We start from the raw sequence: 14,060 nt of genomic DNA on the forward strand, positions 1-14,060 counted from the left end.
AGGTTGCAGTGTGCTGAGATCACACCACTGCACTCCAGCCTGGGCAACAAGAGTGAAACTCTGTCTCAAAAAACAAAACCACAACAACAACAACAACAACAAACAACCATATTCTTTCAAAGATATAAATGACATATCTGGGTAGATTGGGATTTCTCTCCTCAAGTAAGAATCACACACTTATTTCCTTTACCCATTCTCCTAAATAAGGTGACACAATATGGCCAAATAATGTTGACACAGGAGTGAGTATCATGGGATATAAAAATCTAGATTCTATGGTAGCTGCTTTAACTACTTAGTTTTCCAGCAATGAGTGTTGCTATATTGAATAGACCCACACAATTACAGGAGAATATTCATGGGCCATGCACAAAATCAATTTGTAAAGACACTTCTTAGGTGTGCTCATTAATTTGCTTAGACTTATCTCATTGTCTGAGACAAGTGAGGTGAATAGAAGAGGTTAAAAACAATGTTATGGAAAGATATTAAAGTTTTTGGAACTTAGTATTTAATACCATCTATTAATCTACTATTTTTTTGAATTCCAGAAACTTGACAATACTAATTGAGAATTGAAAATTTGATTATTGAGTAGAAGTGAGATATTCTCTTGCACCACTTTACTCTTACCTGTTTCTAGCCATCCACAACAGGGAAATGAAAGAGTAGGCATTAAGAGAGGTTAGCTATTTAAGAAATAACAGAAAAATTGTGACTTCAGGATAAAAGTTAAGAGAAGAAAGCAAACCTCTGCCTGTTGAAACTTTACTGTTGTCTCTCATTGGTATACAGTGTCTGCTTAAATGAGGGAAAGAAACTTAGAAACACATAAGTGAACTAAAACTACCAACACGGTATGGACTAGGCTTTTAGGTTTCTTTGCCTCTTGTAAATGAGATTCTCCTATCCTTCTCTGTCTATACACTGCTGTTTAGTTCTTTGAAACTAATAACAACAGTTCAATAATAAGAGTGTTTCTAAAAGCCATTTCCAAGAAGAGGTTAATAAGTACTTACTTTCACTTGCTTTTGCAATGACCTCATTACAAAGCTACATTAAAACATAAAGGCATTGATATAGCACATATTGCATTAAGGCTGAACCACATTTTTTTTAGATTTGCAAGTAATATCATTTGTCATATTTCACAGATTTGAAAATGTGTCATAATTGGCTATCTCTCAAGAACTCTGGATTCACACATGTGTGATAAGAATAAGCAAGTATTAGCCAGTAATTAGTCAGCTCTCTTTTTTCTTTCCTAAATGGTTTTTTGGATACGACAGTCTACTCTGAGGCAAATTAAAAATAAGAGTTAATCTCAGGTCAGTTTATAACAAAGTCCTGTGTCACACCAGAATTTACATCAGACAATAAAATGTGCTTTAAACAGCTTTCCTTTAAAAGATGATGAATGAACAAATGCATTGGGGTATATTTGTTTTCTCATATACAATGTGCAAAAGCCAAATTGGCTTGCATTTTGGAACATTCTGATACTAATTATTATGTGCTGATAAAGCATACTGTACAGTGGAATTTCCCGTGGAAATAATCCCTGCCTTAAGGGTTTACAGCTTGAATATTCAAAATTGTCCTAGCAGTACAATTCAGACATATGCAACTTAGCAAGCTGACTGGTACAAAACTGGCACTGGTCTCTTAGTTAAACTCCTGTTCCAACACCATGGGTACAGGCAAAAGCAGACATGATCTGCTCAGTTTGTGAAATACCAGTGAGTATTCAATAAAAAATAGCTAGTAGATTTCTACACAGTTCTCTAATATTAAGCCCTATTAAAGTGAACAAATAAAGAAGAGTAAAATATTGGCATTCATATCCTTAAATGGGTTGATTTGGGGCATAAATATAGAAGACTGTCTGGTTCATTTTTAAACCTTTGATTTACTAATCCTATGATCCTGTGATTACTGAAACATACGGATGACATTAAATCTGCTTTATTCTCACAATGTATTCAGGGTAAATTCTTGATGGGAAAATTCAAACAGAAAAAGTGAGCATTGGTGAGTTAAAAGGATTTCAAACAAGAGTGAATAAAACAAAGGTAAGTGTTTTTTTAATCAAAAGATGTATCACATATTTAACAAGTTTTAAAGGCTTTAATAGTATAAAGGCTTTTTGGAAAGTCATATTGCATATATAGATATATATCTCAACTCACCTCAAATGTAAGATATATTAATTGTTGCTAAGTCGATTGTCACTAAAGAGTCCTAATTGATGAATGCTAGCCATAAGAAACATATACAAACAAATGGTCCTGCTTCTGGAGCTCCTATCCCAATATTCCGAGATACTGTATGAACAAATCTATTCTAATATGAAAACACAGAATATAAAAATGAAAAATGAATATATTTACATTGTTTGTATGTATATCTGATATATTACACAGACATACCAAAGATACTGAATATCTTAATGCTGGTGTCAGGAAGAAACATGCCTGATTTGAATTTCAAATTTATTTTTATATGTAAACCCATGCATATATACAATATTTATATATATAATAGTTTGTTCATATATGTTATATATTCATATATAATAGTTACATATACTTAAAAGTAATATGATAAATATAGCACAATTATGTTTTAATATCATAAATAACATCTGTGGTTTATCTGAGAATCTACCTTCTCCTTAGGCTATTTTCTCTTTTTTTAAACTTAGAAAATATAGTTTATTTTCAAATAATAAACCTGCCCAAATTTGATATCTTGGTTTTCTCCATTTTTTTAAACTAAGGAAGCTTTGAAAAATGGTACTGGGAAAGATTATAATCAAACTATTATAAAACAATTACTTACTAAAAGTATTGTATAAAGTGCAAAGTAGATAGGGTTAGAAAAGGCGATATTTAAAATATAACTATGTATTCTATATTATAAAATAATAGAAGTCATTTTCTACAACTTGAATAAAGTCACCATGCTCATTCATATCTGAAATAGCTATTAGCATAATTCAAGATACATCATATCATATAGTATATCCAGGCACAGTGGTATTTAAAAACTAATTTTTGAATGAATAACTATAACCTACTTAAACGTCAAGCAGTAACAATATGTTTCTGCAAAGTAGTGAGGCTATCCTTTGTTCAAGAAACGCATGCTTACTCTATCCCCAAAGGATAACAATTCAGTCTGATTAGCTACTCTGTCCAGAGTCAAGTCAGGGGTCCTGCATATTCCTTGGTCTGTCATGTCTAAACACCACTTATTCAGTCTCTAATTTATAAACAAGAGTAACCACTAATAGACCTATATAGTAAAGTGGGAAAAGTGGGAATCTATTAAATAAATGAATTAAATACTTAACAAAGAAAGAAAATTATGGGTAGATGCATAATTCTTGTTTCTGCAACTTGTTACAGGCATTCTTTATTATATGTTCTGTGCTTCATTTTCTTCCCTCTCAAACTGCACACTTTAGTATGGATTCTATTACTGATGGTGTGACCTAGCCCTTTATTCTTTAAAAAAAATTAGCTCTTAGTTGATCCACTTTTAAGCATGTGTGTGTGTGTATGTGTGTGTGTCTGTCCCTGGAAGTCAATATACACTTTCTGAGCACGTTTTTCTTAATCACCAACATTTATGCCATATTTCCGGGTGATAACAAGTATTATCAAACAATTAACACACTATACCCCTCTCCTTTGGTCTTTTCCCCCCATTTGTTCAATTATGTGAGGAACCTGAATTGGCTTAGTTGAATTTTTATAATTCAGTTAAATCAACCTGTTGTAATCATTCCTTCTTTGTGTTCAAAGATTGTTATAGTGTATAGCTCAGGGTGTCCCAGTGAAGAACAAAAGTAATCTATGCATGAGTCAAGAGTTGTAATAAGAAGTACAATTTATACTTCTAACCCTTATTTTCCAAGAGTACATATTATACCTCTTAACAAATCACCATAGACTTTTATTGATACAGAACATTTGCTCCAGGCCCTCTAGGTTGTTTCTCACAGGGGTATGAACTTCGAAGAGTTTGGGGAAAATGAGAAGACTAGTGAATCTGTAAACATTAGCTGACTGCTCTATTTATTTTGCTGTAAAATGAGTTTCTAGATTAGATTAGGTTTTATTTCCCATAGTTTTCTTTTTATAATGAAATCTTTCATGCACATATCTATTTGACAGAGCCTATAACACATGTCTGTTTCCTAGAAGCAAATGATTCTGGAGTGAGTTTACGGAATCAGCCTTGGCAGCCTGACCTATTAACATGAGAAGGGTGTTTTAAAGATGTTAGCTGGCAGAGATAGCGAGAGAGCGACAGCGAGAAAGATAAATGTTTATAACCAGTCATTTTAGAGATGAGAAAATGAATAAAGACAAGGACTCATGAAATTCAGGCTAATAGCTACATTAATGTGGGGTTTAGATCAAAATCCTGAGAGACACAATCCCAAATGTCGTAATTCTGAATGTTACATCCCTCAGAATCAAAATTCTTAAAGTCTAAATCCCAAAATGTCGAGATCCTAAATGACTAAAATTCCAAAAGTCGCAATCACCAAAGATTAAAACCCCAAATGCTGAAACCCTGAAAGCCTAATCCTGGGGACGGTATTAGTGCGTTTTTGGTTGTATGCAGGATAATTAAATCATGTTAGTTGCATCATGTTAGGTAGAATGATTACATTGCTATTACCTTTATTTTCATTCTCAGAAAACTCAGGCGAGTGGATTAGTCACAAAAAATGGCAAAACTTCCATTTTAAGATGAAAACTTTCATTTAAAAATGTATCATTTTCCTGCATTGGCATTCCTTCCAGCTGATGACATTCAAGGAGCTTTTAAAGAATTAAAGCCAAATTTACCCGAAGAAGCCAGTGAAGTTACTGACAGGTTCGAAAATAATTATTTGCATGGTAGTTTTAAAAGGCACTTACTCAACAGTCTTCCTGTTTGATCACCAGTGTTGTTTCCACCAAATCTATGCCCTGCATATAAATGCATGTGGAATGGGTTACTGTGTACCCAAAACAACATAAAAATGGTTAAAGAAAAAACGGATAGGAAAATTTAATAGGAAATACTGATGTCAATGTCTGTGAAATTACAGAATAATTTTTAAAAGGTCAGCATCATGTAAAAAGTGAGTGTGAACATATTCTCTGAGGAGAGCCATGTCCTAAATGAAAAAAAAAAAAATGTAGCTATTCATTGTGATGCCAGACTTCAAAATGTAGTCAATGATTGTGAAAGTTGACCAGCTCTTATGGACTATCTCTGTGCAGTTGCCTATAATCTATCCCTGTAATACACTTTTTCATATCAAATTTACGTTTTAGTTGGTTTCTTTCTTCTTTTCCTTTTTTTTGTCAAAATTGTCATCATGTATGTCATTTTTGCATCATTTTCAATAATGGAGATACAAATTGTGTGGAGACTTCTTGAGAGTTTTGTTTTGTGCATTTTTTTTGGCAAATTTGACTCCGTGAAAATGCATTATCACAAGGTTGACTTTGTGTGTAAGCATTGTGTGCATGCGTAAAAATGTTGAAACTTTTTCAATAAATGAAGAGATGTCCTTTTTCTACATCTTCATTTTTGAAAAAGGAAATAAATGTCCTGAGTCTCGTCTCTTCAGGTGACTTCATATAACGTTGGTCACCCACCACAAATTTTAACTGATCTCATCAAATGACAGATCATTCATCACGGTTTTGCAGATGATTGCAGTTATAAAGCTGGGTGCATGCAATTACCAGCCATACTGATATGTGTTTATACATTTCTCTTTTTGACTTCTTGTGTTATGAATATAGTTCATCTGTTCATAGCTATTATACCCATGCAACTGTCATTAGTGTACTGGAGTGTTTGTTCATGCTTGCAATAATATGTATGGTATTAGTGCCTATTTTATTTTGTAAGTGATCTATGAAGTTTTCCGTCTCTTTTTTTTTTCTTTTTTTTTTTTGAAACAGAATTTCATTCTTGTTGCCCAGGCTGGAGTGCAGTGGGGCGATCTCGGCTCACCACAACCTCCACTTCCTGGGTTCAAGGGATTCTCCTGCCTCAGCCTCCTGAGTAGCTGAGATTACAAGCATGTGCCACCACGCCCAGCTAATTTTGTATTTTTAGTAGAGACAGGGTTTCTCCATGTTGGTCCAGCTGTCTCAAACTCCCGACCTTAGGTGGATCCACCTGCCTCAGCCTCCCACAGTGCTAGGATTACAAGCGTGAGCCACCACACCCACGCTATCATGTTTTTATATGTTTCCCAAATAAATTCCCTCTTTAGAAATGCGAATAAACATCCTTTTAAATTTTTAAATTATTTTTCCAGAATTATATTTTTGGGGATTTTGCTCTTTCTGGATTTCAACCTTCAGGATATAGCCTTGGGATAGTGTCTTTCAGAATTTTCATGTGCTCTTGTTAATGTCCTCTTTGGAATGATTCAATGAGAATCATATTATATTTTGTTTACCTCTTTTGCCAGTTGTGGACCTGAAAGCTCTAATTATGTCTCTATATTAATATAAAAGTAAAATTTTCTTAACTCTATTTTCATCTTGAACACATTTACATTAAACAAGCATATCCTCCAAATATGAAGCGATGACATAAAAGTGAGGAGGTCAAAAATCCAATCTCTGGATCGATGTCACTGCACAAAACTATGCCACAAGAAACAGTGATTCTGATGATATCTTAGGCAATGTGCTGGGGATGGGGGAACAAAGAGAAAGTACAAACTATACTTTAATAATGGAAATGTTACATGTGGAGATAATTTCATTTTTAACGAATACATTAATTAGGAAAAAAATTTTCTCATTTCTATTGAGAAGAAATTTGGAGAGTAGAAAAAAGCTAAAATTGTAAAAAGTGAGATATAAGATGCATATAAAATAACATTTTGAAAACACTTATACTTTATACCAAACAAAAAAAAACTGTAGATTATCATCCCTATATGCACATCTGTTATATCTCTATATTAAATTAAATATTTGACACTACTCTATATTTTTATTATTATAATAAATTTAATATACCCATTTAAAAAAGTATTTTTAATGTAAAGAGGCAAAGTTGTTTTAAAAGAAGCTTACTTCCAACTTTGCATTGAATGTCAAGGAAAATGCAAAGCATGATACATTGATGAGAATGTGCTGTATTGGCTTATTTTTGCCAACAAACTACTCTGTGTTTATATGTTACAAAGCATGATGATACATATAGTAACACATACTTGATTCTCATATCAACAACCAATTGTCAAAATTTACTCACACATTGTTTTTCTTCAGCTAATATTTGCTTTTTAAAGAAGCACTATGTGTTCATTTGTCATTGATGATTGTTATAAATATCTTGGTGATAGTAAAAGGGAGTCACAAAATAAAATATTTTAACAATGTTTAGTAGATAGAAATATGATTAGAAAATAGATCACTGTATTATCTTTAAAATGACCATGTTTCACCGAGGTTTCAATGTCCTCACATTATTTTAATGATCATATTATATCTTTTTGTCTGACACCCTCAAAGTGGTATTTCTGATGCCCATGGTTCCTTACCCTGGTATAAGAAACAGGTATAAGTGTTACCATAGTTATTTGGTACTTTGCCTCATTTAAAGACTCATACAAATTACAAGTTCATGTGGCATGTTAAACTTCATATTTCCCCTTGTACTTATACCAAGACCTTAGGAAACCTATGAATAGCCCTCCTCTTGAGTCCTCAAACAAGAGAGATAGACACAGAAAAAGGCAGACAGACATAAAAAATATCAATTGTATTTCTGATAATCACTTATCAGTAGGATATGGCTTAAACCTGTGTCCACAACAGGCTTCCTGTTAACAAACTAAAAGAATTATAGAGGTTTACTTCCTCCGCTTCTATATTCCTCACCTCTTCATCCCCATCACTTGCACAACTGAACCACTATAGGCCTTTGCCAACAGGAACAAGCTCCTGTTACCACACAGAAAAAAACAAACAGAATGATTCATTCCTGCAACCAGGCTGGCTCCCCAAAGAACTCATTTAAGAAATGACTGAGCCACAAGGAGTGTGTATATTTCCCCTCACATTTGATATAAATCTTAATATTTTCATATGAAGTTCCCACTCATCTCTTAACTAAAAAAACTCCCTTATGTAAGTTGATAGCTTTATATATGCTTTCTCAGACTCTTTTTGCCTACAAAAACATTAATACAAAAATAAGGCTTTCCAATTTCAGTTGTGTGACTGAATAAGGGCAAGCACCATAACAGTCTCAGCTACCATAAATCACACACATGAAAACCTTTGTTCATGGCACTTTCATCACAGATGTCAGCATTCTCCTTGTTATCTTGCCCAAAGTAGGATGAGCTCTGCAGAAGCAGGCCATTTGATTCCTATTACTTTTGTGAGTCTTTCCTTCCACTGACAGAACAAGAGCTGTATTCTGGTTTAGACCTCTTGAAATTGATACTACTGGGATAGGTGTTTCTCTAACAGAAGTGAGGTACAAAGTCATTGTGAATTCTTTGTATTGGGATTAGAAAAGAAGTGTTTTTTATCGATATTAACTTTGCTATTCCTATCATGTTTTGGATATAACTTTCTCCTCTTCTGCAGTTCACACCTCTCCAGCTGAAGACAAGGACAAACTAAAGCCTTCCCTTGGCACCTGAAGCATTCAACCGGACTAAGACGGCCCCTCTCTAGAATTGTGAACACTTGTTTCTAAAATAATACCTACATGCCATTCTAGTCCCTTCTATAGTGTGTATTTTGCTTTTTCAGTCCAAAACATGTCAATGTATATGTATTTTAAATTACACTGAATGTAAAAAAAGCATAGTACTTACGTAGCAGAATAAATTAATTTTGTTCTACGTGTTCTGTATTTAAGGGACACATGCCTCATGTACTTTCATGGGAAATGAAAATTTCAATGGTGGATCGTCCTCTAACTCTATTCTCCAGGATGGAAATGTCACTAGTAATCAACAATAGGCAGGTGAGACGAATTTTGGTGGAGAAGTAGAGAAGGCTTGTCCATTTGCTTGTGTCAATGACACTACCCTGTAAAATTTGTGTAATCCAGAAACCACACTTTTTGTGTGATTTACAAAAACTGGATTACAAAAAGCTACAGCATGAAGATACTTTGATTTATCTTTCTGAAAAACTTACTGTAAGTCCATTTTTTAAATTTTACTTCAAATCACCTACAAATGACATTTTTATTTGTTTACATCCAGTGGCAGTTAGTCTATCATAGTAGTATTGAGAGGTGACAACGTGCTAGCAGCCCTTGCTCGCTCTCGGCGCCTCCTCTGCCTTGGCGTCCGCTCTCGAGGAGCCCTTCAGCCCACCACTGTGCTGTAGGGGCCCCTCTCTGGAGCTGGCCGAGGCCGGAGCCGGCTCCCCTCTGCTCTCCGAGAGGTGTGGAGGGAAAGGCGCGGGCGGGAGCAGGGGCTGTGCGCCCCGCTCCTACACCGGTGCAGCTTCGGGGTGGGCGCAGGCTCCGAGGGCCAGCACTAGGAGCTGCCAGCCAGCGCCTGCTGGGCTTGATGGGGGGACGATCTCCCTCTGGGCTGCTGGAGTGGCCTGGCTAGGTGCCACAAAGTCCCATGGCGAGTGCCATTGACAGGCGAAGCCGGCTGGGTTTCTGGGTCTGGTGGGGACCTGGAGAACTTTTGTGTCTAGCTAAAGGTTTGTAAATGCACCAATCAGCACTCTGTGTCTAACCAAAGGTTTGTAAATGCACCAATCAGCACTCTGTCTCTAGCTAATCGGGTAGGGGACTTGGAGAACTTTTGTGTCTAGCTAAAGGATTGTAAATGCACCAATCAGCGCTCTGTGTCTAGCTAAAGGTTTGTAAACGCACCATTCAGTGCTCTGTCAAGACAGACCAATCAGCTTTCTGTAAAACGGACCAATTAGCTCTCTGTAAAATGGACCAATCAGTAGGATGTGGGTGGGGCCAGATAAGGGAATAAAAACAGGCCGCCCCAGCCAGCAGGGGCAACCTGCTGGGGTCCTCTTTAATGCAGTGGTAACTTTGTTCTTTCCCTCTTCCCAGTAAATCTTGTTGCTGCTCACTCTTTGGGTCTGTGCCACCTTTGTAGCTGTAACACTAACCGCTAAGGTCTGTAGCTTCACTCCTGAGGCCAGCTAGACTACAAACCCACTGGGAGGTTGGAACATCTGGAAGGGAGGAACATCCGGAAGGGAGGAAGAAACAACTCCAGACTCACCGCCTTTAAGAATCGTAACACTCACCACAAAGGTCTGCAGCTTCACTCCTGGAGTCAGTGAGATCACGAACCCAACAGAAGGAACAAACTCCGGACACACCAACTTTAAGAACTGTAACCCTCACCACGAGGGTCTGCTGCTTCATTCTTGAAGTCAGCAAGACCAAGAACCCACCAATTCTGGACACAGTATCCCTTGATTTATCAAGATATAATGAAAACCTACAATGTAACAGGTAATGTGTAACATATTGGTGTTAAAAAGATGATAAAATTAAAATATAGTTTCTGTCCTTAGAGAGTTCATGTCTAATAGGAGATAGACAAGCAAATAAGCTATTGTAAATTAAAAAAAAAACTTATTATGGTAAAAATAGAAATTATTTGTCTTTAAAAATGGTGTGTTTAATACACAAAAACATTTTATTAGTTCACCATAACCTTTACCTCTACCTATGTTTGAGCTCGAGTTGTCTAGATTCATCTAGGCTCTTATAGGTAGCTTACTGCCTCATAAATTTCAAACTATCTTTAGTTCTTTGGTACACGCAGTCAATTCAAACCACAGACCTTCTTCACATAAAAGTCAGATTGATTACTTGATATTCCATGCTCATCCTAAAAGGAATTATGCTCACTGACCTTGATATACTCACTGACCTTGTTTGACTACACTTTTCGACAGATTGGCTGTTCTGGTTCTATATAGGGAAGGATTGTATAGGCAATGAATGAGAAGAATTTCATAAATTTATATCTTTCCAGGTAAAGTTGTGAATAATACAATTTATCAATTTCAAAAAATGGAAAAGAAAAATGAGGAGGGAATTTACATGCATATGAAAACAGAGATATGTGAGGTTGAAGGAAAATAAAAGTTTAAAATAGATCAGAAATATTTGGATTTTTAACATTAAAATTCGAGTACGTTTTCATAGCGAGCTTGCTCTGCTCCTTCATGAATATACATGTAACTAAAACCAACACTCCTAAAATCTTACGAGAATTAAGAAACCAATTAAAAAACAAAACATTAAAAGAGAGGACTATTTGGAAACAACTAAATCGGAGAGGCAGGCAATTAATAGTTTGAATAACAAAGGGAAACTAGCAAAAAGTCAATTAGAAGTTAAATACATGAAATTTTAAATCACTTAAACAAAAGCTAACTTCTAATTTTGTTGCAGGCAAGTCATTGACTTTTAAAAAATATACTTGAAAAGTATGTAACCATTATGCTACTTCATATTCCTAATAAACAACGTGAGGGGGAACTGTTTTCTGCTTTCAGTCAGCTTCTAAAAGGATCAAAATATTTTTACCACTCATATGTAAGCTCTATCTCCACAGAGAATCTTGTGTTTTATTCATCATGGTAGCCAAGGTTTGGTTCAATTGCTGTCATTCCATTTTAACACATGCTAGGCATTGAAATATATGATTAGAATTAGCATTGACTGAGTCTTTGGCAAGATTATTCATTGAAATGCCCCTTTATGTTTCATTCGCACTGCTTCAGATAATTAGAAGGAAAATGTGAAAAGAATTAAGAGTCAAACTGGTTTTAGCTTCTTACGTGGCTCCTCCACTTATTTCAAAGGAAAAGCTTGGTGTTATGCATGACAACTGGCGCATCCCTCGTCCTTAATGTAGAATTAGGTGTCTTTAGGTGAAAAAACCAAAGAATTTAGGAAAAACTTACTTTTTTTGTAATAAGAAAGTGATTCTAGGTCTTGAAGACTAAAAAAAGGGTGACCAAAATCATCAGAATGTGAAACAGCTTCCCTCAAGATTGGAAAATTTTCCATCAATATAGGGAATGACAGGATTTAGGATCTGAATAGAAGCAAAAACCCTTGCCTATGTCCCAGTAAGTGGCGACAGTAGCAAAATCTTACATGGAAGAGTTGGGGGTTGTTGTACACTGAAGAATAAATTCAAGAAGTCAGGGCTTTTTAGCCCTAGCAAATTGAAATCCCCACCATTCTGGCCATATTATAGGAGGAGAAGTTAAACTGAGTTTAGAAAATGAAAAATGATCTCAGCGAAGTCACCAGTAAAAGAGGAGTCTTCACTGGCCACACTTACTAGGTTAATTAATTCCCAGTATTATCTGATCTCATAGCACCACACCTTTACAACAATTATCAGAGTTAATACTTTATATTTATTTGCTAGGTTTGCTGTTAAGAATGTAATCTCCAACAGCAGATGTCATGCCTAGTTTTTCACCCTCTTCTAGACTAAAAAAGTCCCATACTAAAAGTAAAGTTGGTGAATGAATTAATGTGCACTCTATTGCATACTCAAGCCTACCACAAGTCATATATGGAAAAAAAAACCTCTTGAAAGTAATTTATAAAGAAACTGATACTAGATATATGAATTAGACACAATGTTTGAATTATCAAATTGAGATAAAACATTCGAAAGAAAAGTGATATATAGAAATGTCTTTCATAGGAAAGCCATAAGTTGCTACGGTCCATAATGCTGATGTCCTTCAGATATAAAATTGGCCCTTCCAAATAGGCAGTAAGATGTTTGCCACCATTGGTGTTACCGATTATTTTAAAGCTCAAAATACAAATGACTAGAATGTATTTATTTGTTTGTTTATTTTTCTACTTCAGTGAGTGTAATATGTAGTTTACAACAAATTGAATATCAAATACTAGGATAGTATTAACCTCTTAAAACTGCAGGATGCAGGGTAATTCAGTAAATTAAGGCACATTAAGAAAACGTAGTATATGATGTAAATTATAAGAGATTGAGAAAGTCACCCAGACAATGTAAAAGTTCTTGCCCTACTCACTCATACAAATAATTATTTTGCCAAGTTCTTAGCAAAATACACTAGGTGTCTCATGACAGAAACAAAGTGTCTATGGTAATACAATTTGAGTTTCTGTGGCAGTGAGTGAGAATGAATGTGCTTACAATTATTGGTTTTATATGTATATATATATGCATATTATATATGCATATAACATATATAATTTTATCCAGTTATTGGTTATCTATGTATCATTTATGTAATGTGAATTTCATTTGTTCAGCCGGACTGTTTTAAACCATAATGCTAAATAAATATGTGAATATTATCAATTTACTCAGCCTCCCAATGCTTCAGTTTTCTTACTTCTACAATAGACATAATAATGATATTTCAAATAAAACATGGTTCTGAGGAGCAAACAAAGTGTAATAAATATAAAGTTATTATATAGTATATAATTATACTTATATGTATAGTTTAGCATAGTTTTTGACACATAGAAAGTGAAGAAATGATAGACAGTAGTAATAATAGTAAGTAATTAGTAATCTGTTAAGTTGCAGGGCTTTTTCTTTTGTATTTAAAATAACTATTTGAATGTAAACTTATTGCTAAATCTAATGCCAGCTGTTGTGTATACTCTCTTAGTTTGACTATGTTTAATTTATAGAGATTTGATGTTGCTGCATTATTGTTTTCTATGTATTTAATTTGATTACCTGAGACTTGAGAAAGTTATTCTTTTATCCATTTAATAAATCGTCTATTTTATATTCTATGTTCTGAAGGAAAAACTGACATTTAGTTAGAAAACTGATGGATGGGGTTAGAAAATACAGGGATATTCAAAAGCATGTTTTTTCCTGCTGTGCCAGAGGGAATCTTTGGAAATATCTTTTCCTGTGGTGCTATGAACATTCTTTGAATATTTGAGAAAATGCTCTGGTTCTCAAGTTTCATAAAATGTATGAAAATAAAAACAAGAAATCCTATCTAGCAAATGATTAA

General features: G+C 34.8%; 1 annotated feature.

The window, feature by feature from the left end:
• Positions 9,700-10,899: an enhancer, noted in NCBI's record as "BRD4-independent group 4 enhancer chr13:84091305-84092504 (GRCh37/hg19 assembly coordinates)". NCBI's record gives its function as "activates an origin of replication core promoter dependent on BRD2, P300/CBP, MED14 and CDK7 cofactors, and independent of BRD4, by STARR-seq in HCT116 cells {active_cell/tissue: HCT116}" and the evidence as "EXISTENCE:reporter gene assay evidence [ECO:0000049][PMID:35650434]".

Source organism: Homo sapiens, chromosome 13, assembly GCF_000001405.40.
Source record: "Homo sapiens chromosome 13, GRCh38.p14 Primary Assembly".
Taxonomy (NCBI): Eukaryota; Metazoa; Chordata; class Mammalia; order Primates; family Hominidae; genus Homo; species Homo sapiens.